This window comes from Homo sapiens, chromosome 6, assembly GCF_000001405.40.
Source record: "Homo sapiens chromosome 6, GRCh38.p14 Primary Assembly".
NCBI lineage: Eukaryota > Metazoa > Chordata > Mammalia > Primates > Hominidae > Homo > Homo sapiens.
This window is the reverse complement of record NC_000006.12, coordinates 42,425,131-42,450,771: the sequence shown is the minus strand read 5'-3', so window position 1 is coordinate 42,450,771 and position 25,641 is coordinate 42,425,131. Positions and strand designations below refer to the sequence as shown.

Genomic DNA, 25,641 nt, shown 5'->3' with positions numbered 1-25,641 from the left:
AGTTAGTGTGGCCACCCAGATGGGAGAAATGTGTAAGGGGGTAAACCTGTTCCTTCACTCCCCAACTTCAGTTTGGGAGACTGGGAAGTTACTGCCGGTGGTCTTAAGAAACAGATATTAAAAACCAACCAAACCACTCCTTCACCAGCGGAGGCCGAGAGCACCTGGCAGGCAGCCTCTGGCCAGCACTGGACTGGAGCATGTGCGCCTGCCATCCTTAGGTTACAAGAAAACGCTTTCTGGTTCCTCCGTGTGTCTTCTACCGGCCTGTTAGAGCCAGCTTTGTGGAAACTCTTCCCCAGACTAGACGCAGCTTTGGCAAGTGCCAGTACTGAAGGGGATGGCTTCAATTCAGCATGGCCTGGGCTGTCTTGTGAGTGCGTGGAAGTCGTGCTTAGGAATGACCGCCCCTGTAGTGGCTAAAGAGTTCATTAAAAAATATCTCCTGAAAACCGGTCCAGGTGCACTTTTCAGCAGGTCATTGAGGAGAGTTTTAAGAAGGGGAGTTTTAAGTTGTCCCAGTTAGCACCCACCTTCTGCATCACTGACCCTTTTAAGAAAGGAGTTTGGCGATAGGAAGTGTGGTGTTGATGCTCACTGACTGGAGAGGATAACAGCAGGAGTCCTCAGTGCTTAACTAGTTAACCAGCAGCCTTTGCCTCTCCTTGCCTCTGTTTTCTTGGTCCTCAGCCTACTGGTTTCTGCAGAAGAGTTGTAGGTCTTAGCTGTCAGCTACCTTGATGATGCTGGGAGTTTTAACTTTGCTAGGATAATTTTAGCATCTCGGGTCCAACCCGGAGACGTTTAGTAGGGTTAGGGAGTAGCCACTAGGCAGTGGGGTTAACTGAGGTTGGTTAAGCTTTCTGCAATTCTGTAGACAGGCTCTGTTCTAGCAGGGTCGAGAAAAATGGGTTTTAAAAAACTCGCTACACATTGCTGATGGAGAGTGCTTTTTTTCTTTCCTAACTGTCGTCAGATTTCCAGATTGAGGGTTGATATTTGGCAGTTTGAGAGTTGAGTTAGTTGGGAATTAAATATTATTGCTGCTTATCAAATGTTCCTAACTAGGCATTAGTTAAGCAAATTAGCTATTATTTTTACCTGATGAAAATCTGAGTCTGGTTGTTGTATTTGCTGGGAGGGTAAACAAAATCTTTATGTATGTTCATTCCAGGGTGGAATTATTTACATGCCTAGCCTCAGAGCCAAGAGCAGTCATTCAGGTTTTTTTCCTTATATTTATGAGATTTATTTTATTGTCTTGCTTTGGCCATTAATCAAGTCACAGTAGTTTTTTTTTTTTTTCCTCTTCTACCGAGAATGTTCTTGCGGTAATAAAGGCTTGAAGGCCCATGAATCATAATTCGTTCTTTTTAAAATATTGTGGTGATTGTCAGGATCTGATTTATAGGAATTGATACCCGGAGTGACACACCTCTCTGGGCTCCGCCCTTTTAGGCATGTCCATTTTCGCCAAAGGATTGTTTAGAAGCCAGCTTGACATCCCAAAAAGAGCATTTCCCTTCTGCTGTATGAGAAGATTAATTTTGCAGGTTCCATAGTAAACATGGGTCTTTTCACAGCTTGGTAAGCAGGCTTCCACATAGCAGGCATGTGTTATTATCACATAGCATTTATGTGAGCTTGCTGTGAAAACAGTTGTTCTATGAACTGTGTGGAAAGTACTCAGTTTTGCCTCCTATAACCGGCTTGGGCCTGTGGTTTTTGTTGAGTTAGGAACTTAAAGTGTAAAAGAGGAGACAGACTGCAGTGTTCTTTGCTGCTTGTATAATAAAATGTGTGGTCACAAAAAATAAAGCTTGTTTATGATTTTCTTTTTCTCCTTCTTTAATGGGTGGGTTGGTTATAATAACCGAAAGCGTTATTTTTTTGACAAATGTAAGGATTCTCTGTGAAGCTGATTAGCCAGGAAGTGTTAAAATTGTCTTGTGTTCAATAGTTGGCTTAAGTTTACAGTATTGGTAAAGTGACAAAGAACTTAAAGTAGTTTGATGCTCAAGGCTAGGGGAAACATCACTGGAAAGAAAGGTGGGGAAGGTACCAATTTCTAGCCATTTCTGGGCTTTGGATTTTTTATCTTAAAAGTGCGTGGTTTGATCCGTGAGTTCCCTTCCGGCTCTGAAATTCTGTGTCTTGTAAGCGAGGTCTCCAGAGGTCTTGACAGTCTCTTCCTGAGCCAACGGCCAATTGCTTCATGGACTTGGGTGAGCTGATTAACTTCTGTTTTTGTCTTCTCATGGAGAAAGTGGATTTGATCCTTGGTATTCCAGAAAGGTCTCTTGAGTGGCCTGGTGATCTTGACCATCAAACACAAGGAAATACTTATGAATAAATGTCTGCCAGTGTCTTGGACAAAAAATTCTCAATTCTATGCACTAACAGAGAGTGCAGCATGTACATATCCTAGGTACCAAAAATAATTTCTGTTCATCTTAGAAGTTTCTTCTCCAGCCAGTTGGTTAACTTGTCTAATCCTTGGTCAAGTCTAAGGTTAACCAAGCTCTTATTCCCAGGCAGCAGGAGGAGATAGCTTTGGGGAGAAACTGGAGACCAGAAAGCCCAGTGTGGCTTTGCCTGCTTTCTGTGGGTAATTGGGATTTGGCTGAATATTTGTGATAAGGTTCATAATAATGATATAGTATCATTTTTATCACCAGGATTCTCTGTATTTCACTATGGGCATTTTTGGGAGAAGCTCTTGATGTTTTTATTGACTTTGGACATTGCCATGAAAAGTAAGGATTTAGGGCTGGGCGCGGTGGCTCATGCCTGTAATCCCAGCACTTTGGGAGGCCGAGGCAGGCGGATCACCTGAGGTCAGGAGTTCAAGACCAGCCTGGCCAACATGGTGAAACCCCGTCTCTACAAAAATACAAAAATTAGCTGGGCATGATGGTGGGGGTCTGTAATCCCAGTTACTTGGGAGGATGAGGCATGAGAAGTGCTTGAACCTGGGAGGCAGAGGTTGCAGTGAGCCGAGATCATGCCATTGCACTCCAGCCTGGGTGACAGAGCGAGACTCTGTCTCAAAAAAACAAAAACAACAACAACAAAAAAGAAAAGTAAGGATCTAGGCAAGTGGCTTATACCCCAGGCGGTATAAATGGTGCTCATGGTCCTGCTCTAAAGGCGGTTGAATTCAGCTCATTTTATTTCCGACCTCATAAAACTGTGTGGCTGAGGGAGGAGGAAGGATTAAAATCATCTGGGATCTTGTGGATTAATGATATTTCTGAATTTGCATGTTGAAGGGAAACCAGTAAAATAAAGGAGAACTAACGAATAGTTGATTTCTTTTGTGGAGAGAGGAGGACAAGAACAGCTGGATTCCAGTTACTGGCGTGCGTTGCCACAAGGGTGCTGTGGGCATTTTTAAGGAATAATATAGTCTCAGTAACATGAGTTTGACCCCAGGGCTCTCTTAATAAATCTTTTCTTCTGGGCTAAAGAAAACACACAACAAAAAGCCTCTGTGATATTTTCTAAGAATTTTAAGTTCTCAGAGTAGCTGCTTGTAGTAATTTGGTTTACTGAAGAAACAGATGATTCTTGGTCTTTCATCATGGAAGACGATGAGCTGGCATGGGGTAGCATATGCTGAGCTGTTGGGGTTTGGTTTAGCAACATAAACATTTCTTTTTATATGTTTGATAGAGCAGGAAGGGGACAAAGAACCCGTGTGCCTAAATAACAGTGATAACTCTGAGCTCAAAGAACGAGGGTTTTGTTTGTTTGTTTGTTTCTTTGAGACAGCATCTTGCTCTCTCACTCAGGCTGGAGTGCTGTGGCTCAATCTCAGCTCACTGCAGCCTCTGCCTCTCGGGTCCAAGTGATCCTCCTGCCCCAGCCTCCCAGGTAGCTGGGATTACAGGCGTGCACCACCATGCCCAGCTACTTTTAATTTTATTTTAGTAGAGACAGGGTTTCACCATGTTGACCAGGCTGGTCTTGAACTCCTAGCCTCAAGTGATCCGCCCACCTTGGCCTCCCAAAGTGCTGGGATGACAGGCGTGAGGCACCACACCCGGCTGCGGAACGAGGGTTTTTTTAATGCCATAAGCAGCCCTGGTTTCTTTCATACATGCGGCAGCTTCTTATTGAGGACTTACTATTTGCCAGGCACTGTGTTAAAGCTCCAGAAATATATTGATAATTGAAAGAGACATAATCATCTCCCTCTACCCATACCCCTACCCTTACCACTTCACTTACAGTCCAGAGGCAGACATGTAAAGAAATACAGCTTGCCAATTGTGATCAGTGCTCTGATGAAACCACAAGTCCAGTGACTTGGATGGATTTCATTAGAGTAGCCTGGAAAGGCCTCTCTGAGGTTTGGGGGTTGGGGGAGACAGCACATGAAGCAGAGGAGAGCCTGTGCAGAAGGACTTTGGTTTTGGAGAACTCAAAGAGGCACAGGTGGTCAAGGATGAAGGAGGGAGGGCAGCATGAGATGATTGTGCAGGACTCTCTGGGCTTTGAAAAGGTTTACATTTCATTTGAAGTGTAGTGGGAAGCCATTGAAAGTTTGGAGTGGGACTGGGCACGGTGGCTCACACCTGTAATCCTAGCACTTCGGGAGGCCGAAGCGGGTGGATAGCCTGAGGTCAGGAGTTCCAGACCAGCCTGGCCAAAATGGTGAAACACTGTCTTTACTAAAAATACAAAAATTAGGCTGCGTGGTGGCGGATGCCTGTGATCCCAGCTACTTGGGAGGCTGAGGCAGGAGAATCACTTGAGCCCAGGAGGTGAAGGTTGCAGTGAGTGGAGATCGTGCCACTGCACTCCAGCCTGGGTGACAGAGCGAGACTTCATCTCAAAAACAACAACAACAAAACAAACAAACAAAAGAAAGTTTGGAGTGGGAAGCGACAGCCCCTAATTCACGTTTTAAGAAGATTGCATTGGTGGAGAAGAGAGCAGAGAAAGGCAGAGCACAGTAAAGAGGCAGGTGGAGGAGGAGGCGAAGGAGGTGCATGGAGAGGAGTGGGTGGGTGTGAGATGCTCATTAGGAGTAGAATGGGCAGGGCTGCTGTGGGGTGGGGAGAAGCATCTAGAACTCCGAGGTTTCTGGCTTGTGCAGTTGAGTAGATGGTGGTGCTGTTTCCTGAGATGAAGAAAGATTGGGAGAGGGAGGCGGGCAGAATCAAGATATTTTAGTTGGGGCACCACTAAGTTTGAGGTGCCTATTAGACTCAAAGTGGAGATGTCAAGTAGGGTAATCTGATCTACCACCTAGCACGAGATAAAAATGTGGGAGCCATCGGCATGGAGAGAACATTTAAATGCAGGAGAGTGGACAGAATGCCCTAAGGAGCCCGTGGAGAGAGAAGAACAGGCAGTGTGAAGGAGGTGTGTGCTGTGTGTGTGTGTGTGTGTGTGTGTGTGTGTGTGTGTCTGTGTGTGTAGTGTTTCCTGAGGCTGATAAGGCCAGAAAAATCACCATTGGATTTGTTTCATCGTTTTTTGTTTTTTTTTTTTTTGAGATGGAGTCTTGCTCTGTTGTCCAGGCTGGAGTGCAGTGGCGTGATCTCAGCTCATGCAACCTCTGCCTCCCATGTTCAAGTGATTCTCTTGCCTTAGCCTCCCGAGTAGCTGGGACTACAGGCATGTGTCACCACGCCTGGCTGGTTTTTATATTTTTAGTAGAGACGGGGTTTCACCATGTTGGCCAGGCTGGTCTCAAACTCCTGACCTCAGGTGATCCACCTGCCTTGGCCTCCCCAAGTGCTGGATTACAGATGTGACCTACTGCACCAGGCCCTGAATTTGGCAAAATGGAATCTGTCTGTGACTTGTGAAGAACAGTTTCAGTGGAGTGAAGGGTTGGCTGGGACCACGACTGGAGAGAGTTGGGAGGGGATCGTGAGGGAGGAGCTGCGGACAGCCCGTGTAGTCAACTCTTTGGCAAAATTTGATGATGAAAGGCGAGGAGCAGAGAAACGGAGTGGGAGCTGGAAGGATGTGCACAAGGGAAAGAGGTTTTTTGGAAGTGTTGGTAATTTGTGTGCTGATGGGAAAGATCAGTGGAGAGGGAGTGACTGATCAAGAGAAACGAGTTGGGTCAGTTGAGCAAAAAGCCCTTGAGAAGGTCTGAGGGGAAGATCTGGCCTTTGTAAGGGGGTGGGGGATACTTCAGGAACTTGCTCCATCATGACAGGGAAGAAAAACTGATAAGGGGGCAGATGCTAAGGAGTGGGCAGGCAGGGGACTCTGTGGAGGACCGAGATGCTCTGCCTCCCCAGGCTGAGGCTGCCCTGTCCCTGGGAAGGAGTTTGGGCTTAGGACTTGATACCAGCCAGAGACTCAAGGGTTAAGACTGCATCAGAAATGGTACTGCATTTTTCTGAACATTTGACTGCGTTACTGAGCGGCACAGAGGAAAGAGTGAATTCTTTAGCTTGGAGAAAAGAGTCTTCAGTTAAAGTAATTTGGGCCTCACATTAAATTTATTTGAAAACTATGATTAGAAAAAGACTTCTGTGATTTTCAGCCCTGTTCAGAGTTGGTGGGTACTGTCATAGGTTTTGAGCAAGAAGCTCAAAAGAAAAAAAAGCAAAAAAAAAAAAAAAGCAAAGGCTGCCTGTTGTTTAGGTTGTCTTTCACAAAAAATATCCCATGGACTACCAGCCTCGGTGGTTCCCAGCCATGGGGTCTGCATGGGAGGTGGGTGGAAAAGGAGAGAGTCAGAGCTGGATTGAGATCCAGCTCTACACCAAGGCTCTGGACTAGTCGACCTCCGAGCCTCTCTACATCTGTAAAAAGAGGGCTGGTACCATCTTCACCTCTCCTCTTCAAGTTGTGAGAGGGAATCAGATCATGTATGGAAAGTGCGATGTCAACGGTAAGAGGCATAGAACAGAGGCAGCAGTGAGGCGACTTGATCTTCAGCCAGGTCTTCTTTTCAGATATAAAATCTGACAGCCAGCGAAACATTTCCCTTGTCCACTCCCACTGTTGTTCCCTACGTGTAGCTGCCTTCTATTTGGGGTTTTCAAGTTCTCTGTGATCCTTTAGCAAAACTGCTCTTCTTGTCGGAAGGCTGGCCTCAGAAATGCTGGCTGGGCAGTGCCAGTCAATACAGGTTCAAATTCTGATTCCATATTCAGAATCTGGGACCTGCCCACCCAAAGGGCCAAATAAACTTGGTTTGCTCCACAAAGAATCCTGTGAACTGGGTGCAGGAGAACCTTGAACCTACCCCAAGAAACCCGACTGAGGTTCTACAGTCTTAGCCGTCTTCATTTGCATTCAGTGTTTGTTTTGCAAATAAGGATTGTGCTATGAAGCTGAATCTACCTAAAAGCAGTCATTAGCCCTTAGTCTTACTGTGTATGCTGGAAAGTCAATTCTCATTTTAAAAAGATATCCAGTGCTTTTCACTAATCGGGCTCCTGGCCTCTGCCTAAGAAGGTGAAGCTTTATTTATTTATTTAAAAATGATCTTTATTATGAAAAAACTTTAAACATACACAAAAGCAGAGAGGCTAGTATAATGAACTCTCTTGTACTCATCACCTAGATTTAGCAATTATTGAGATTTTGCCACACCTGTGGATAATGGGGCTTCTTCTGTATTTGTATAATAAATATGTGTCGTTGATTTTGAAAAACAGTGGAACTGATAGCAATTTGGTTTCATAGAGAGAAGGAAGAAATCAACGAAAAATCAGAGAGAGAGGAAATGGAGGCCATCACTGAAATAACTCGCATTTTGTAGTTCCAAAGCCTCTTTGACATATCTTATTTGTGTTCTGCAACAACCAGAGAAGGTAGATATCCTCATTTTATAGCTGAGGAAACTGAGGCTCGAGAAGTAAAATTGGAAAATATAAATAAATGATCAACTAAGAGTCACCTGTTCAGCCAGCATCCAAAGCCCTGATTTAATGCCACAATTTGAATGGTTTCCAAATTTTGTGCACTCTGAAATAGATAATACTATACAGCATTAAATAAAAGAATGTGGTACAGAATATATGTAAAAGATCGTGGAAACCAGGAAGATCATCTGGGTGTTTTGGGCTTACAACTCCAATGAGCTTAGTTGGAAATACTCAGATGATTTAAGCATGTTTTTGGCATGACATTTTTGAAAACTTAAATTGTTTGCCTCCATTATTCTGGAGCACAAAGCTTTAAGGCTGCCTTATAATGAAGGCCAAGACTTGACTTTAACAAATTGGGCAGCTATTTGGGCAGCTATTTGCCATCTGTGTCCTACTGTCAGCTCTGTCCCTTCTGTGGGGCCCCTCAGCAGAGGGACCTGGGTGGTCTAGTGGTCATTTCTAGATGGTGTGGCCTCTAGCCCCTGGGCTCTGACTTTGGAGATAACAGGGCCCTGGACAGCTTGCTCCCTCAGAAAGAATCCTTCCTGAGGGCCTCTAGGGGTCTTTGTCATTACAGAGGCTGCTCCTAGGGCCTCCCTTGGTCTTTGGGAAACTGCCCCCAATCTAACTCCTTTGAAAGATTTTTTTTTTTTAAAGGAAAAGAAAAAAAGCTGGAGTTGATGCCCAAGGAGTTTTAATAGGAGTGTCGTTTGAGTTCCCTCTGTTGTCATTACAATAGGAGATACCAAGCTCCCTTAAATTCAACTGAAGGACACCAGTAATGAGGCTGATTCTGAAGTATTGGGGCTTGAGTTCGCTTTTCTTTGTTAATTGGGTGAATACATGCGAGCTGAGGGGTTTTCAGGGGGAGCCACAGTAAGTAAGGACATTTAGGGGCCTCTTTCCTTTTGAAGAGTCTGAGCTTCTTTAGAAGGCAGTATGGAATTCAAACCTCGCAAACGCTCATTCCTTAAGTCTTTCTTGATGGCTCTGTGTGCCTGGGCCTGGCCAGGGCAGTGGGTGGGCTGGAAGGGGCTGTTCCTGGGCTCCTGCTGCCCTTGGTTTATAAGGCTGCTGCTGTCATACTTGCAGTGGGACGTGTCTTTCACCCCTCTGGACTGGGAGCTTGGGGAAGGCAGAACTGGGTCATCACTCATTTCTGTACCCCCCGGCCTCTAGCACAGAGCCTGACACTAGTTAGTGCTGTAAAAATGCTTACTTCAGAATCAGCTGGGTTTTTCTTTTCTTTTTTTTTTTTAAACCTCTGGTTTTCTCGCCATTGGTTCTTAATGGAAGGAGAAATCCAGGCTTCTCTGCTACCAGGCCCAGTCCTTGCAGCCACTGAAGAAGACCAGACCTGAGAAATATTTTCTTCCCCCTTGCCTTGCCTTGGCCTTGCAGCCTTTAGCTGGGGTGGTTTAACTGAGCTCTCGAATGCAAATGCTGTCCCATCCCCCATTCCTTTTAATAAGTGACATTTTGTTAAATCAGTTATTCAAGGCCTTATCTATATTTCTGTCTGTGCTGGCTTAGTCAAAATAGGAAAGAGACTGAATATTAGATTTCTTCACCCACCCCCTCCTCCTTCCCCCCTTTGAGCAACTCTACGTAAGATTTCTGATAGAGGCGGGGTGATGTGTCCTTGAAGAAGTAAATGCTGCGTGCAGAAAAAATGTAGAGGGCTTTGACTTGTAGCAAATGCTGTTTTTCAGCAGCTGTGATTTTTCCATTTTTCTTTTTCTTTCTGTTTTGATTAGTGGAACTCATTGTGCTCCAGGGTTGGGATTGCACTGGGGGAGGGTGCAGAGGGAACAGCATTTACTGGGAGAGCTCGAGTTGGGGAGGGGAAAGGAGAGAAGGGATTTATTGAAAATATATGTCTACTTCTGCTGTGATAAAGCGGCAGGCATGTAAAAATGCAACCGGGAAATCATTATTGTGGTAATGTAGGCAGAGCTCGGCTTTCTCATTAACAGAGCTTAGCGCACGTGGAGGAGGGGGCAGCAGGGCTACTTTGAGAGTTGGGGTATTCAATAATAGCAGAAACTCAGGGGATTGTCTCCATCCCCGCTTCTCACCCCCTCCAGCTGCCTTCTTTCTTTCTCCAATCAGTTTGTAACCTTTTAAAAGCTGCTTGTTGGATTTTGTGGGCTCCTTCCTCACCCCTGCCACCCCAAAATGCTGTAAGAACTGTTTAATTTTTAAAGTTAGAGGGAATTAAAATACATTTTCTCTTGGGAATTTGAGGAGAATTTTGGTAACATATTGTGAGTCAGAGATTGGATATCTTTTACCTCCCAGAGCACACCAAGAAGAGCCTATTTAGGGGCTCAGGAATTTGCATAGGCCATGGGGTATCAGCATTAGGGCTCCAGATCGCTTTAGTAGTAGTAACTGCTATTTATAGAAAGCTTACTATGTGCCTGGCCTTGTGTGGATATTTTAGTCATTTCATTCTCCTACAATTGTAGGAAGCAGATGTGATGTCCACTTCACACTTGAGGAAACTGAGGCTCGGGGGGTTTCAGCAACTTGTTTAAGGACAGGTGCTGCGTGGCGGAGCTGGTATCCAAACTCAGGACCCGCTCCAAAGACTGGCTCCTGATCCTTAGACTATGCTGCCTTTAGAAATTGCCTAGTCACTGTATACTTGCTATGTACAGACCTCTAGACTCTAAGAACCTCAGCAAAATATCTAGAGCTGCAAATGAGGCCTGCCGTTGACAGCTATGGGTAGAGTGCTCAGGATGTTTAAGAGAATCTTTCCTGAGTTCCTGGAGTGAGCTGTTATTCTAAGGAAGGTCAAGGGTCTCATAGCCTTGTTAGAAGAGATGAGTGCCCTGCCCCCATCCCTGCCAGGCCACGGTGGGTGGCTTTGCTGACAACTTGTTCATCAAGCATTTATTGAGTGCCTGCCATATATTAGGATTGTCCCAATGGCTGGAAATGCCAGGACAAATAAGAGGAGCTCAGAGTCTAGTGAAGGACCGTCATGTGAACATGGAAATACGACACACAGTGATGCCCACCAGAAAAAGGCAGAATTTCTGAAGAAGTTCACAGGACATACTGTCTGGAGCAGCTAGGCTTATCCCTCTGACTTTGTTTGGGCTACTATAACAAAAATGTAATAGACTGAGTGGCTCAAATAACAAACTTTTATTTCTAACAGTTCAGAAGGCCAGGCGGTCCAAGAACAAGGCAGGGGCAGATTTGGTCTTAGATGGTCATCTTCTTACCGGGTCCTCACATGGCGGAATGGGCCAGGGTGCCCTCGGAGTCCCTTTGTTTGTTTGTTTGTTTTGGAGTCTTATTTGTTTATCTATTGATCTATTTTTGAGACAGAGTCTTGCTCTGTCGCCCAGGCTGGAGTGCAGCAGTGCGATCTCAGCTCACTGCAACCTCCGCCTCCCAGGTTAAAGTGATTCTCCTGCCTCAGTCTCCTGAGTAGCTGGGATTACAGGTGCCCGCCACTGTGCCCAGCCGACTTTCAGCTTCTTAAGGGTATACCATGTCTTATTTATTGTGTCCCCAGCACCCATCCTGGGGCCTGGTACGTACTGTCTCAGAGACAGTTGCCAGATGATGAGGCTGGAGAGGTGAGCAGGGATTGGGCAGGGAGAACCCGATGTCACGTTACGGAGCGTAGTCCTGACCCTGTAGGCAGTAGGGGAGTCACTGAAGGTTTTGGAGTTAGGAAGCATGTGTTGGGGAACGGAATCCAGTCTGGAGGGGTTGAGTCTGCAGGCCAGGAGACTACTTAGGAAAGTGTTGGAAACACAGGGGCAAGTGGCAGTGATGTTGAAGGAGAAGCATTGCCATCTTTCTACGGCATGGCCTGCCATTTCTCTCTCCATCTCGCCTGCTCTTTTTCAGTCTCTAAGAGGCACTTTCACTTCTGTGTCTGTCCCCTTTTCTTCCTTGAGGCTCCTGGCCATGTATTCTGCGACACTCCCTTTCCACTCTCCACTCTGTTGGTGGGCTGCCCTCCTTCCCCTCCCCTCCCATCCTGTGCTCACCTGTGTGATTCCCTTCAGGGCAGGCCGTATGCTGTGTCCTCCCATATCTAAACCCTCTGATCTAATCTGCACAGAAGCACAGAACACAGAGCCTGGGGTCTCAGCCTTCTGTCCTTCTCAACTCGTACCTGCTCCTTCTGTGAGGACACTTTTGGGGCTTAAATTTAAAAACTTGGAAAGAGTTTTAAAAAGGCAAGTAGCTGATATGAATCTAGTCTTAACCAGGATGGCAGAATTTGGAAAAGCACAAGGGGGTTATTTTCTTTCTTTTTTCCTTTTTCTTTTTTTTTTTTGAGACAGAGTCTCACTCTGTTGCCCAGGCTGGAGTGCAGTGGTGTGATCTCGGCTGACTGCAACCTCCACCTCCCAGATTCAAGCAATTCTCCTGCCTCAGCCTCCCAAGTAGCTGGGACTACAGGTGTATACCACCACACCTGGCTAATTTTTGTATTTTTAGTAGCGGTGGGGATTTGCCATATTGCCCAGGCTGGTCTCGAACTCCTGACCTCAGGTGGTCCACCTGCCTTGGCCTCCCGAAGTGCTGGGATTACAGGCGTGAGCCACCGCCCCCGGCCAGGGGGATTGTTTTCTTTAGGAAGGTGAGGCAATGTGCTCTGGCCATGGCGACCTTACCTTGTATATGTTGGGGGACAGGATACATTTTAAAAAGTAACAGCTGCAAGCCGCTCACGGTGGCTCACTCTTGTAATCCCAGCACTTTGGGAGGCCAAGGTGGGTGGATCACTTGAGGTCAGGAGTTCGAGACCAGCCTGGCCAACATGGTGAAACCCCATCTCTACTGAAAATACAAAAATTAGCCAGGTATGGTGGCGGGCACCTGTAATCCCAGCTGCTCGGGAGGCTGGGGCGGGAGAATCGCTTGAACCTGGGAGGCGAAGATTGCAGGGAGCTGAGATCACGCCATTGCACTCGAACCTGGGAGACAGAGTAATACTCTGTCTCAAAAATAAATAATAAATAAATAAATAAATAAATAACAGCTGCCTACTAAGTGCAGATGCACACCATCATTTTAGGTCTGTTCCCCCTTTAACCCTCAGAACAACTGCATGAGGAAGGCATTCTTATCCTTATTATACAGGTGGGGAAATGGAGGCACAAAGAAATGCAGAAGCTCGTTCAAGGTCGTATGGCTAGTAAATTGCAGGGCAGGGATTCAGACTCCGGAACTCAGACCTGGGTGACTGTAAAAGCAGGTTCTTTTCCCCCTTGCTTATCCTACCTCCCATTTCGCCTTACCAGACAGCATGACTTGAGTTTCCTTCAAAAATATGACTATGATAATATGGTGGAAGGAACACCATGCCAACCCTCTGGGGCTATTCGTGGATAGCGCTAACTCTTGGAGCCTCATTTTCCATGTCCTCTCAGTACCTTTGTTTTACTGACTGAAAAGGTTTATTTTGAGAGTAAAATGAGATTTAAAAAAATGCAAAAGTGCTTTGAGAACTGTGAAGCCATATTCTTTACTCTTCTGCATAATCATTTTCTGAGGGGGTGAAACTCTGTGAGGGTGGGATCTCAGTGCCATCCCTGGGCTTTGGGCGCGATGGGTGCGTGGTTCACACACGTTGTTAGCTTCCAGAAGTGTTTGGGGCTGAATGTGCTCTCAGGTCTGCCCCAAATTATTCCACATGATTTGGGGGAATCATTGGTGGCTGGGCTGCAAGTGGGAGGACCTCCAACCAGAGCTGGAGTGCCCTTGTGTGTCCCTAGGAGGGTCACTTCACCTTCCTGAACCTCCGTTTCCTGAGGTGGTCACATCTACTTGGTTATTAGGAAGATTAACTAGCAGAATGTGTGTAAAAATCCACACTTGCTAAGCAAGATGATGATGACGTATTTATGGAATGGAAGTCATGGGCTCTGCAGTCTCTGGATCAGGCTCATCAGCCTTTCCTGGTCAGAATGTTCTGCCTCACATTTACACCACAGTCTCCTGCCTCTAAGGCCTGGAGCAGACATAATTGAAAGCTTTGTTAGTGTTAAGACTTTTTCACTGAAATTGTATAAATGGTAAGTGAAAGTAGTTCATATATATATATATATATATATATATATATATATTTTTTTTTTTTTTTGTAGAGGGAGATTGCAAATAATTCATAGTGATTATAGAGAATTTGGAAAATACTGACACAGATGAGGAAGAAAATAAAAAAGGGCTTTAATTCCTCCCTGTTAACATTTTAATATATTTCCTTCCAGTATTTTTTCTAGGCAGTAAAGTCTAGTGATTAAAAATTTAAGCACTGCAGTCAGACTGCCTGGATTTGAATCCAGGATCCTTCATTCACTTTAAATAACAATAGGCCTGGGTGAAATGAAATGAGACAATACATGTAAAACATCTGGGGCTGTGCCTAGCAGATAGTAAGTTCTTAATAAATATTAGCTATGATATTATGCTTTCAAAATCATATTAGGGTTCTTTTGAATGTGATTTAATACTTACTAATTAAATATTTTTTGGAAACTTAAAAAAATAGTTGCTTATTATCCTTTTTTTTTTTGAGACGGAGTCTCACTCTGTCACCCAGGCTGGAGTGCAGTGGTGCGATCTTGGCTCACTACAAACTCCGCCTCCTGGGTTCACACCATTCTCCTGCCTCAGCCTCCCAAGTAGCTGGGATTACAGGCACCTGCCACCACGCCCAGCTAATTTTTTTGTATTTTTAGTAGAGACGAGGTTTCACTGTGTTAGCCAGGATGGTCTCGAACTCCTGACCTCGTGATCCACCTGCCTCAACCTCCCAAAGTGCTGGAATTACAGGCGTGAGCCACTGAGCCCAGACGCTTATTATCCTTTCATATGGACTCTATGTTCAACAGATATTTATGGAGTGCCTACTGTGTACGGGGCACTGGGTCCCATAACTTATTTATTTATTTATTTATTTTTGAGATGGAGTCTCGCACTGTCGCCTGGGCTGGAGTGCAGTGGTGCAATCTCAGCTCACTGCAACCTCCGCCTCCTGGGTTCAAATGATTCTCCTGCCTCAGCCTCCTGAGTAGTTGGGATTACAGGTGCCCCCCACCACGCCTAGCTAACTTTTGTATTTTTTTTTTTGGTAAAGACGGGGTTTCACTATGTTGGCCAGGATGATCTCGATCTCTTGACCTCGTGATCTGCCCGCCTCAGCTTCCCAAAGTGCTGGGATTACAGGTGTGAGCCACTGCGCCCGGCCTCCATAACTTATTTAACTAGTCCCTATTATTAGGAATTTACCTTATTTATCATTTTTTAACTATTATAAATAATACTTTGATAAATATCCTTGTACATAAATCTTTAAGTTCATCTTAGATTCTTTTTGGGCGGTAAATTCCTAAGAAGGAGTATTACTCTGTCACCCAGGCTGGAGTGCAGTGGCGTGATCACAGCTCACTATAGCTTTGACCTCCTAGGCTCAAGCAATCCTCCTGCCTCAGCCTCCTGAGTAGCTGGCACTACAGGAGTGCACCACCATGCCTGGCTAAGTTTTTGTGTTTTTTGAGTAGATGCACTCGGCTCTGTATACATGCCATCCATGTCTCCTCAAAAAATACAAAAACTTTTAAAGAGCTTACCCTTAATTAATGTTTTAGCCGTTTTCTGGACAATTCAGGCCACTTAAACACTTAGGCCTTTTTTACCTCCCTTATGCCTTTTGAAGTCTTGTGTATTTTAATTCTCTCTCTATGAAACCCCAGAAGACATTTTTTTTGTGTGTGTTTGTTTGTTTGATTTTCTTTCTTTCTTTTTTTTTTGAGACAGAGTTTTGCTGTTTCTGCCCAGGCTGGAGTGCAATGGTACAATCTCGGCTCACTGCAACCTCTGCCTCCTGGGTTCAAGCGATTCTCCTGCCTCAGCCTCCTGAAGTAGCTGGGATTACAGGCACCCACCACCACGCCCAGCTAACTTTTTTGTAGTTTTAGTTGAGACGGGGTTTCACCATGTTGGCCAGGCTGGTCTTGAACTCCTGACCTCAGGTGATCCGCCCGCCTTGGCCTCCCAAAGTGCTGGGATTACAAGCATGAGCCACCACACCCGGCCCATTGTTTTATGTAGACAATAATAATTTAGATTAATCCACATACTTACTCTTTTTGCTGTTCTTCATTTCCTTCCATATAAGCATGCTTCTCTCTCAGCTTAATTTCTTTCTACATGAATAACTCCTATTAGGGGTGTGTGTGTGTGTGTGTGTGTGTGTGTGTGTGTGTGTGTGTGGTGGAGGGTGTCTGCTGGTGTTCCAGTTCTCCCAGTTTTTGTTTGTCGGAAAATGCGTTTTATTCACCTTCATATTTGGGAGATTTTTTTCCCCTGGAAAAAAATCTTTATTCACCTTCATATTTGGGAGATTTGGGCTTGTTTTATTTTCTTTCAGTCCTTTGGAAATGTCATTCCATTGTCTTCTGGCTTCCTTCATTTCTGTTAAAAAGTCATCTGTCAGTTTTATTGTGGTTCTTCTGAAAGTAACATATCTGTTTTTTCTCTTTGGCTTTGTTTTTTTTTTTAGCAATTTTACTATGATGTACATAGGTGTGGTTCTCTTCATATGGATCCCCTGTGGAGTTTGGAGTGCATCTGTAAATCATGGCTCTGTGTTTTTGGTCAGTTTTAGAAAATTCTTGAAGCATTGTCTTCCAATTTTGCTTTTGCTGTTTAATCCTCTCCTCCCTTTCTCAGGCTCCTGCACATATGTTAGACCCTTTCATGGTATCCTACATGTCTCTGGAACTCATTTCTGTATTTTCTGTGCCTTTATGTATTTTTTTCTACTGACCCATCTTCCACAGCACCAGTCATTTCTTTTACTATTCCTTTTTGTTGTCAAGCACATCTATTCAGTTCTCTCTTTTTTGAAAAACAGAGACAGGGTCTTGCTCACTCTGTTGCCTAAGCTGGAGTACAGTGGCACAAACTTGGCTCACTGCAGCCTCAAACTCATGGGCCCAAGTGGTCCTCCTGACTCAGCCTCCCGTAGCTGGGACTGTAGGTGTGCTCCACCATGCTTGGATAATTAAAAAAAATTTTTTTTTTGTAGAGATGGGGTCTTGCTCTGTTTATCCAGGCTGGTCTTGAACTCCTGACCTCAAGTGATCCTCCTGCCTTTGCCTCCCAAAGTGCTGGGATTATGAATGTGAGCCACCATGCCTGGCCCTTGTAATTTTAAAGTTCTGGCTGACAACTTCAATATTTGGATACCTTCTGAGGTTTGTTTTTATTGATCGTGTATTTTTGTTGGTTTGGTCCTATTTCCTGACATGCTTGGTGATTGTTGTTTGAGTGCTGGGCATTTTACCGTGGAAAATGTAGAGGCTCAGTTAAGGCTGGTATATTTTTTATTTGCCCTTACCTGTACAATGGTACAAGAAGGCCTTGGTAGGCCCTGATTTCAGAGTTTCATCTGCTTGCCACTGTAAAACTACCAAAGCTCTGCTTAATGTGCTAGTGTTTTAATAGCTTTTTTTTTTTCTGTTTGGATTCCTAGGTTTTAGCTCTGTGCACAGAAGACTTAGGTGTGTGTCAGTGCCTTGAGGAGAAATCGCTTGCAGAACATTGGACTCATTTCTTTGGGGTTCACTTTTTTTTCTGGTATCTTGGGCTCTTAAATCTTGGATATGTTCATAGCCCTGAACTCCAGTTTTTGTCTTCTCGGCCCAGGGAGAAAGCTGCTGAAAGCTTTCATTTACTGCTTTCTGTTTTGCCTCTGTGTTCCTTGCACCAGATTAGCAAGTGTCCTGAGGGAAAACAGTAGCTACTAATACATGGCTCACCTCACTGCACCTCCCTTTCCTCTAGGAGCCTGGTCCCTCAAGTCCCAACTGCCTTGTTGTATTTCCACACCTTCAAAATGTTATTATTATAATTATCTTGTATTTTATCTATCTTATGTAGCTGTTCTGTACCAGAGGACTAGTTTAATATTCACTGCCCCATAATACCTGAAAGCGAAGTCTAATTTCGTATCCTTTATGATTAACATTAGAAGTATTTTCCATGTCTTTAAACATTCTTTAATTCTTTAGGTGACTTTTTTTTTTTTTTTTTTTGAGACAGAGTCTCACTTTGTCTCCCAGGCTGGAGTGCAGTGGCATGATCTCTGCTCACTGCAACCTCTGCCTCCTGGCTTCAAGCGATTCTCCTGCTTCAGCCTCCTGAGTAGCTGGGACTACAAGGCGCCTGCCACCACGTCTGGCTAATTTTTGTATTTTTAGTAGGAACAGGGTTTCACCATATTGGCCAGGCTGGTCTCAAACTCCTGACCTCAAGTTATCCACCCACCTCAACCTCCCAGAGTGCTGGGATTACAGGTGTGAGCCACTGTGCCTGGCCCATCATGTGATTTTTTAATATTTGCACAAGCTCCCTGTTATGGCTTTTATGATCTACTCACATTTTCTTCAATTGTCAGATACTTAGGTCATTTCACACAGTTTGCTTTTATGAATAATACCGCCACAAATGTCTTTGTATATTTTTGCTGAAGCATTTTATTCATATTTTAAAAGTGTGGAGTAGAAATGATCAGAGTTGAAAATACTAATCAGTAGTGATTGTTTTTATGCATATAGCATGTACAAAAATAAAACTATAGACCTTTTCTCTCTTGGATGGTTCAGAAAGAAGCTTTCCTTTTTAAAAAGTATTTTTATTTCTTGAGAAATATTCATATAATGCTCACCACGTGCCAGACAATTCTTTTACATGCTGTATAATACTGACTTTAATTCTCCCAAGAGCCCTAGGGCACAGGTATTATTACTGGTCCTCTTTTTTGAGAAGAGGAATCTGAGGCATGAGGGAATAGGTCACTTGCCCATGGTACAGTTGTCAGTGGCAGAGCTGAGCCATGCATTCTGACCCTAGAGCCTGTACTGTTAACTGCTATACTATACTACCATGAGCTCATCGTTCTCATTTATTATCACTTTCTTTCTAACCATTTTAGCTTATTTCAGGGCTTCCTCAGTCTTCTGTTAGTTGGGCCTTTTTTTCTTTCTCATCGGGTAGGGGGAGGGACATGAAGGTGGGGACAATTTGGGACAGAAGCTTCCATTGACAGAAGGTGCATTTGGGACCTGGTCTCAGACATGGCGGCTCACTTTATAGCTTGAGAAGGTAAGGTTGCCTAGTGGCTTATATTGTATCTATTGTGGGGTTGGGGGGTCCCTGGTGTGTATTGAGTGACAAGGGAATTTCTGCTGCCACCTCTGGCTTGACCGGCTAGTGTTGGCTGGGCCACTGCCTTTCCAGTTTTGAGAGGAAGAGTAATTTAATCTCTCTTCCCTCCCTTCCTCCAGTTCTACTTAGCGTAAGGATAAAGAGGTGTAAATAGAGGGCCCACTAATTGGAGTATCAGGGCAGCCACAGGGCAGTAGGGAATGAAAGGATTAAGCGCTGGTGCTTTGGACCTAATAAACTGCAGGGAGTGAATGAAGAGTAAGAAACCTCAGACCCTGTGGAACTTCAGTTCCTTTTTCTTTCTGCCTCTCTGTTTGGAGCCTTCTGTACTTTTCCACATATATCTCCATTTTCCTCTCTGTACTTGTCATTCTATTTTCCATTCTTATCTTTCTACCTACCCACCTTCCCTTTTTTCTCCATCTCTCGCTTTCCTCCTTTCTATTAATTGCTAGTTATATATATGTTAAGTAGCCTGTATTTTAAAATGTCTTCTATTTATTGAATAAATTTTTTCCATTTTTAGTCTAAAAACAAGCTTTTTAGCTTTTGCACTCTCAAGAAAAAATTTGCTGAATGAAATTACTCTTCCCTTGTCTTTAGTTATTGATTAACATTTTCTTCTCTTTTCTTTTCTTTTTTTTTTTTTTTGAGACTGAGTCTTGCTCTGTCACCCAGGCTGGAGTGCAGTGGCACAATCTCAGCTCATAGCAACCTCCACCTCCCAGGTTCAAGCCATTCTCCTGCCTCAGCCTCCCGAGTAGCTGGGATTCAGTTGCCTGCCACAACACCCGGCTAATTTTTTTTTTTTTTTTTGAGATGGAGTCTTGCTCTGTCTCCAGGCTGGAGTGCAGTGGCACAATCTTGGCTCACTGCAACCTCCGCCTCCTGGGTTCGAGCGATTCCCCTGCTTAGCCTCCCAAGTAGCTGGGAGTATAGGCATGCACCACCACGCCTGGCTAATTTTTTGTATTTTAGTAGAGACGGGGTTTCACCATGTTGGCCAGGATGGTGGTCTCCATCTCCTGACCTCGTGATCCACCCACCTTGGCCTCCCAAAGTGCTGGGATTACAGGCATGAGCCACCGCGCCCAGCCAACGACTGGCTAATTTTTGTATTTTTAGTAGAAAAGGGGTTTCACCATGTTGTCCAGGCTGGTCTCAAGCTCCTGACTTCAAGTGATCCACCCGTCTTGGCCTCCCAAAGTGCTGGGATTACAGGCATGAGCCATAGCGCCTGGCTTATTAATTAACATTTTCTATTTCTTCTCTTGGTCAGCAGCTCTTAAGAGAAAAAAGATTCAACTCCTTGCTTTTTGGAGTGAGGGAAGATGGTCTAATACTGATTTTGGGGGGCAGTAGGTGTGGGACTTGCCGGTTTTCTTAAGATTGTTTGAGTTTATAACTCATCACCAGAAGTCTGAGAGGGCTTTGAGCCATATTTATTAAATGATATCAAGGGAGATTACCAGGAAGAATGATGGGATGGGGTGGCAGAGAATGACAAGGAAACCTGTCTCTCTCCTGCTTACAACCCATCAGCGGCCCCCACCAAGCAGTACAAGCCAGAGTCCATACAGTAGTCCTTAGCCCCCCTGAGGCCCTGTCTTTCTACAGCTCTCCTCCTCATTCCTCCTCTCCAGCCCCATATCTGGTATGCGCTTGCCTCAGGGCCTTTGCACAGCCGTCCTCTCTGCTGGGGTTGCTCTTCCAGAACCTAGATACTCATCTGCATTGCTCCCTCCCGGCCCTCTTTCAAGTCTTGGCTCAGAAGTCTGTCTCTTTCTCAACAGGGCTTTCCTCACCTCTCCAGTTAGGTGCGCCACACCTTCGCCCGAATGACCCATCCCCTTTACTTGCTCTGTTGTTCCTTTTCTTCCAAAACACTTCAGCCTGTTCCCGTCCTCTGTAGTTTGCTTGTTCATTATCTTTGTTGCCAGTCCTCCCTCTCCTAGAATGGGTTTGTTCACTGCTGCATCCGAAGCCCTCGGAAGAGTGCCCAGCACACAGTAGGCGCTCCGTAAATATATGTCCAGTGCTGTGTCCTTGGGGGCTCGGGAGGGCCCCCAGCTCAACAGACTTTTATCACATCTCAGGATCTGGATAATCTCTTTGCCTGTAGGAATTTTTTTTAATTAAGATTTTTATCATTGTCATCCCCTTCCCCCTTCCAGTTCATTTAAGACTGTTATGAAACAAAACTCATTATGCTTCAAAATCTGACAGAGCTAAGGCCCCGGAGAAAGTGAGAGGAGGCGGTAGCAGGGGGTGCTTCCTTCCATTTCCCCCCCTCCGTGGTTTTCTCCTGTGGTTGGTTCACTTAGGACGGCCCGGAGCCTACTGGGTTGAGGTGAGTAGGGCTTCCCAGACCTCGCAGGGTCCATCCACGGGAAAGTCTGTTGTCAGCCAGAGAAGAGAATGCTACCTTCCCAGGGCAGGGGGTTTCTCCAGACACCAGTGCTCAGGATGGAAGAAAAAAGGAAGCAGACTGGAGAGGAAAGGAGAGAGAAGTGAGGTGCATTTTGCATGGCTCAGCTGGAGGAATACTGTCACTAGAGAAATTAGGAGTGTGGTCCTCCTTGGGTGTGACTTAGTTTTCACTTAAAATAATGAGTGGCTTTCATTCATTTGTTCAGTAACATTCACCCAGCGCCTGCTGGGCACAGATGGGGTTGAAGGGCATGTGGGCCTGGGACCGGAGTCAAGTCTCCAACCACAGCTCAGCCTGCTGCGAGAGGGACAGTGCCAGGGGACCTTGGGTGTGACCCAGGGCTCAGAGCCAGTGTATTGGACTTCTCTATCTGTGGGTTCCTGGGAAGTGGGAAGGCCTGCTGGGAATAATTAATGTGTGGAAGGGAGGGAGAGGGAGGCAGGGCTTCATGAGGAAGTGGCTTAGACTCCTCCCAGCATTCTTTTCTAAACATTTCCCTAAATGAATCCATCCTCAGGCCTTTCGGAGTCAGGGCTGACCTGTCCTCTGACTTCTGCAGGGCAAGGGTTGGTTCTAGGCCTCAAGGCTTCAACTGTTAATCTCCTTTGGAGTTTTGGTTTTTCCATATGAACAAAGGAAGGGAGCTTAGTGATAGTCTTGGATCACTATGGGGATAGGCCAGTCTCACAGAATTATTGACAGACTGTCAGTGTGCTGTGATGTAAGATGTGTGAATCTGATAAAAGCTGCCTGAAGAGAGCCTCAGCTCTGGAGACCTGGGGTTTCACCCTCTCGCACCCCCTCCACCCCAATCTTGGTGTCTCATCTGCTAATAAAGTAGCAACGCCCACTGATTTGAGTTTCACCTCCTTTCATTTCCTCTCTCCTGTCTTCGGGTACTCGGGCCATAATGAGCTTCAAAAAGCCAACAGCTGAATGATCAGCCTCTGAATAATCAAGTCTGCAGAACTAAAAATATTCAGTTACATTATAATGCAGATGGTACTGATAAATTAAGGGGAAAATCATTGAGCCTACAATTGTTTTCCGATGCATTGTCCCTACCAGAAGTTACATAGAAAATAAATGAAATGATTTCACCTTAGTCAGTCTGGGCCTGTAGCTTAGTTGCTTAGAATATAAGGCTCAGGAGGCCAAAATCCTACTTTGAGCCCCACTTGGGGATTATTACAGCATCTTGACTGGTTACCCAGACTTGACTCCTATTTCCGGCCCTAGATGTCATGCCAAGCTCTTACCAGCTGTTTCCCACTGCAAGCAGTGGCTGCATGATACTTACCTTAGCTCTAGGGTGTATATGACTTGGTGTAATCTTATCTCTTTCATGGAAGAAACTGTTCAAGGTATACATACCTCCTAATGATGGTGTCAAGAGTCTGATTTTTTTTTTATATATATTAAAAAGAATGTGCTGGGTGTGGTGGCTCATGCCTGTAATTCCAACATTTTGGGAGGCTGAGGCGGGAGGATCATTTGAGCCTAGGAGTTCAAGACCAGCCTGGGCAACATAGGAAGACCTTGTCTCTACAAAAAATACAAAGATTAGCCAGGTGTGGTGGCACACACCTGTAGTCCCAGCTACTCGGGAGGCTGAGGTGGGAGGATTGCTTGAGCCTGGCAGGTGGAGGCTGCAGTGAGCCGAGATGGCATACCACACTCCAGCCTGGGTGACAGAATGAGACCTCGTCTCAAAAAAAAAAAAAAGTAAGGCAGGGCAAGGTGGCTCACACCTGTAATCCCAGTGCTTTGGAAGATGGAGGCAGGAGGATCCCTTGAGCCCAGGAGTTCAAAACCAGCCTGGGCAACATAGTGAGATCCTGTCTCTACAAAAAAGTTAGCTGGGCATAGTGGTGCACGCCTATAGTCCTAGCTACTTGGGAGGCTGAAGTGGGAGAATTTCTTGAGCCCAGGTGTTTGAGGCTGCAGTGAGCTATGATTGCATCATTGAATTTCAGCTGGGTGGTAGAGTGAGACCTTGTCTCCATCAAAATTTAACAAACAATAAACCAAAGAACGTATTTCTCATTTGCTAAGCATTTATGTGCCCTAGGTGAATAAGCCTTAGTTCTTTTTTAAAAACAAATTTATTTATGTATTTTTTATAGAGATAGGTTCTTGCTACATGGACCAGGCTGGTCTCGAGCTTCTGGCCTCAAGTGATCCTCCCATCTCAGCCTCCCAAAGTGCTAGGATTATAGGCACTTTGGGAGGCTGAGATTATAGGATTATAGGCGTGAATCACTGCGCCCAGCCCTTAGTTCTTATATATTACCTTGGTTTAGGTTAATTGAAGTAAATAAACCTATAATAATTTGATATAAGGTTTTAAATGTATATAATACATTCGTAAGTGAATTTATTAATTCAATAAGTATTATTCCAGTATATGCAGAATTCTAGGCTAAGCATTAGATCAAAGATTGGCAAACTTTCTATAAAGGGCTAGAGAGTAGATATTTTTACTTTGTGGGCCGTATCTCTGTCCTAACTACTCAACTTTGCTGCTGTAGCACAAAAGCAGTCACAGATCACTCGTAAATGAATGAGCGTGTCTGCGTTCCAATCATACTTCATTCACAAAACCAGGTGTTTGGCCAGGTTTAGCAGCAGGTCATATTTGCTGATCCCTGGTCTGACGGCTTCCACCTCTTTGTTAGAGAGACAGCTACGAACAAAATAGATGTGATCATGACCCACATGGAGTTTTCATTCTTTTTGGGAATAATTATTTGTAGCATTGCTTTGAAACCAGACCTGTTACAAATAGTTGACAAGTAGCTCCTGGGGGACATTGGAAATCTAGGTAACTTTACTGAAGAAAGGTTCTAGTGAACACCCATTTCTATTTATATTACCCACTGGTGTCTGTGTGGGGGTACTGTGTTTACTCACATTTGGCATGTAGGTACTATTTTTGAGTTGCTTTCTTTTCACTTCACAGAGTTTCATGTTTATTTACATATGTTGGTCTGGATTATATAATTTTAGTGGCTACATAGTATTTCTTGCTGAGTTAAGATATGTCATGTGCCCGGTGTGTAGTAGGCATTTGCTAGATGTTTGCTTTCAGTTTGCAGTAAAAGCCTTTCAGAGTTGGAAAGGGATTGGTTTCTGCAGAACTGAAGGGGAAACCATTGACTTGGGAGAACCCTAGGAGAGATGGGCCTGGATGATGTCCGCTTGCCAACTTGCTGGGTGACACCTAGCATCTTGCAGCCAGGGAAGTGTCAAGTATGTATGTCAGTGCAAATGTAAGGGACAGACTGGAGGGTGACCTTGTATTCCAGAGCCCTGCTCCCCACGTGCAGGGAAAGTCTTTGTGGGATGTGGAGCAAAACTTGGAGCCTGGGGAGGTTTGTGGGGGCAAGTGGGGAGGAAAAGCAGCCCCATGCAGAGAAGATAAAAAGCCCAGGGGGCCGGCGGGGCACTGGCTCACGCCTGTAATCCCAGCACTTTGGGAGGCCGAGGTGGGCGGATCACGAGGTCAGGAGTTCGAGACCAGCCTGGCTAACATAGTGAAAACCTGTCTCTACTAAAAATACAAAAAATTAGCTGGGCGTGGTGGCTGGCACCTGTAATCCCAGCTACTCGGGAGGCTGAAGCAGGAGAATTGCTTGAACCTGGGAGGTGGAGGTTGCAGTGAGCTGAGATCGCACCATTGCATTCCAGCCCTGACGACAGTGCGAGACTCCATCTCAAAAAAAAAAAAAAAAAAAAAAAAAAAAAAAATGCCCAGGGGGCCGTGTCGGTTTAGGTATGTGAAAGGGGCATGGGCTCTGGGGCCACACTGGACTTGATTTGACTCTGACTCTGGGTTTGCCCTTTATGTGCTCTGTGACTGGGCACTTTCTTAGCCTCTCTGAGCCTCAGTTTTCTTTGCTGTAAAATGTAGGGGGTTGGTTGGGGGCTGTCATATTTATTCCATAGAGATGTTGTGAGGGTCAGATGAATAATCCAGTAAGTGACAGCACACTGTGTAAATGGTAGCTCTTATTAGTCAGTGTGAAGTATGTGACCCATTCTTAGCTTGCAATTCACAAGAGCAGTTGTTTTTTCACTATTATTGTTTTTGAGGAAGCATGGCTAATCGCTCCAGTTCCAGAGTGGACTTTGCCCCCACCCTCTCTG

The 25,641-nt window shown here is 45.0% G+C and overlaps 1 protein-coding gene across 52 annotated transcripts in view, besides 3 other annotated features; it reads left to right on the top strand.

Annotated features, from left to right (window-relative positions):
* Positions 1-25,641, top strand: part of TRERF1 (transcriptional regulating factor 1) — a 227,294-nt gene that overhangs the window by 1,453 nt on the left and 200,200 nt on the right. The window lies entirely within an intron of this gene.
* Positions 8,103-8,820: an enhancer, noted in NCBI's record as "OCT4-NANOG-H3K27ac-H3K4me1 hESC enhancer chr6:42409690-42410407 (GRCh37/hg19 assembly coordinates)". NCBI's record gives its function as "activates a minimal SCP1, AML or CMV promoter by ChIP-STARR-seq in primed H9 embryonic stem cells {active_cell/tissue: H9 hESC(primed)}" and the evidence as "EXISTENCE:reporter gene assay evidence [ECO:0000049][PMID:30033119]".
* Positions 8,821-9,539: an enhancer, noted in NCBI's record as "OCT4-NANOG-H3K27ac-H3K4me1 hESC enhancer chr6:42408971-42409689 (GRCh37/hg19 assembly coordinates)". NCBI's record gives its function as "activates a minimal SCP1, AML or CMV promoter by ChIP-STARR-seq in primed H9 embryonic stem cells {active_cell/tissue: H9 hESC(primed)}" and the evidence as "EXISTENCE:reporter gene assay evidence [ECO:0000049][PMID:30033119]".
* Positions 21,411-21,500: an enhancer, noted in NCBI's record as "active region_24554". NCBI's record gives its function as "activates an Ori minimal core promoter by ATAC-STARR-seq in GM12878 lymphoblastoid cells {active_cell/tissue: GM12878}" and the evidence as "EXISTENCE:reporter gene assay evidence [ECO:0000049][PMID:35858748]".